The following is a 1745-nucleotide window of genomic DNA, read 5'->3' on the forward strand; positions in this document are numbered from 1 at the left end:
TGCTGCTCCTATGGAACAGGGCTGCTGAGTAGCAGCCTAGGGGCACTTTTGCAGTCATATTTATACACACTTTTATTGACATGCTAATGAAGGGGCAGCTTACTCTGAAATAGTTTGAAAATGGACAGTAACTTCTGGATGTTCCCATGACAAGGGATGGTAACTTCCAGATGTAGCCATGGCAATGGCAAACTGTCCTGGTGCTGGTGGACATGTCTTATGGAAAAGAGCTTTCAATACCTCTCTCTGGTTTTTATCAGCCTTAAATCTGGTCCAGAGTTGATCCTAGCTCAATGGCAGAACTCAAAACTCTTACAGGTGCTATGGCAGTTGCAATATATAAACTGGTTGAAAATAAATAAAACGGTTTAAGTGTATTATGAGGTGACCAAGACTTAATGGGTTGGATGGCAAGAGAGAGCTGGTTACTGGCATAAACGATACAGATGGGGAAGGTTTGAGAAGAGTGGGCCACAGCTGTTGGCAAAATGACCTGCCCAGGTGAGAGGGAGAGAGCAGCAGTAGCCAAAGGTGAAAGGCTTTGGAGTCTTAGAATGATCTCCACAAGCAGAGCCTGAGATATGGACTTCTGGGAGATTACCCTGGAGGTCCCAGGAAGGTGAAGAGAGAGAGCAGAGAGTAAGACATCGTCACACTCCACCCAGCCAGTGCCCCCAAGCCTTTCTTCTCCACCCTCCACACTTCACCCAGCCAGCATCCCCAGCCTTCTGCATCCTTCACACTCCACACAACCAGCACCCTCAGCCTTCTCCATCCTTCGCACACCACCCAGCCAGCACCCCCAGCCTTTCTTCTCCATCCTCCACCCTCCACCCAGCCAGCACCCTCAGCCTTCTCCATCCTCCACGCTCCACCCAGCCAGTGCCCCCACAGCCTCCTCCATCTCCTTTTTTTCTTCACTCTATCTCTTCCCAATGTCTTACTACCACTTCCAACACTCCTCTTCACACAGGAAGGAAGGAAGGAAGGAAGGAAGGAAGGAAGGAAGGAAGGAAGGAAGGAAGGAGGGAGGGAGGGAGGGAGGGAGGGAGGGAGGGAGGGAAGGAAGGAAAGAAGGAAGGAAGGGAGGGAGGGAGGGATGGAGGGGAGAGAAAAAAAGAAAGTTAAGAAAGAAGAATAGAAAAGAATAAAAAAATGATGAAGTCACAAGCCCACTGAGATTGTTCTTTCTGGCAAAATCCCACTGTGTCTGCTGGTGTGTGATGCTGTGTGTGTGTGTTTATGGGTGGGTGGATGTGTGGGTGTGCATGTCCAGGTGTCCTTGCTGTATCTGCTTTTCTTAGGAACAATTATCAACCCTATGTGGCCTTCACTAGACCTTTCAAACACCCAAGACAGCACACAGTGGCTATGTAATAATGAACAATAATTAATAATAATAACAATGATGATGTTCAGTGCTGCTGACTAATTCAGACTTCTCCAGGGGGAAGAAGCACCGTTGCTATTTTTGGAGAGAACAGAACTGAAGAACTGCATGAAAATTTGCATTTTTTAACTAATTTATTGAGTTTCCATTTATGACTTTCTTTAAATGTGACATGAATGAATTGCTTTATTTTCTAAAAGAACACTACCAAATGAGAACACTTATTTATACATTTTAACAGCACCCAATAAAAGTTACCATTGTGTTTCATAATCACATTATGACTATTTGAGAAATGTTTTTCCACGTGGATGAATGACGAAAGGCAGCTTTGGGTTGACTTGTTAATTCATCT

Source organism: Homo sapiens, chromosome 11 (assembly GCF_000001405.40).
Source record: "Homo sapiens chromosome 11, GRCh38.p14 Primary Assembly".
Taxonomy (NCBI): Eukaryota; Metazoa; Chordata; class Mammalia; order Primates; family Hominidae; genus Homo; species Homo sapiens.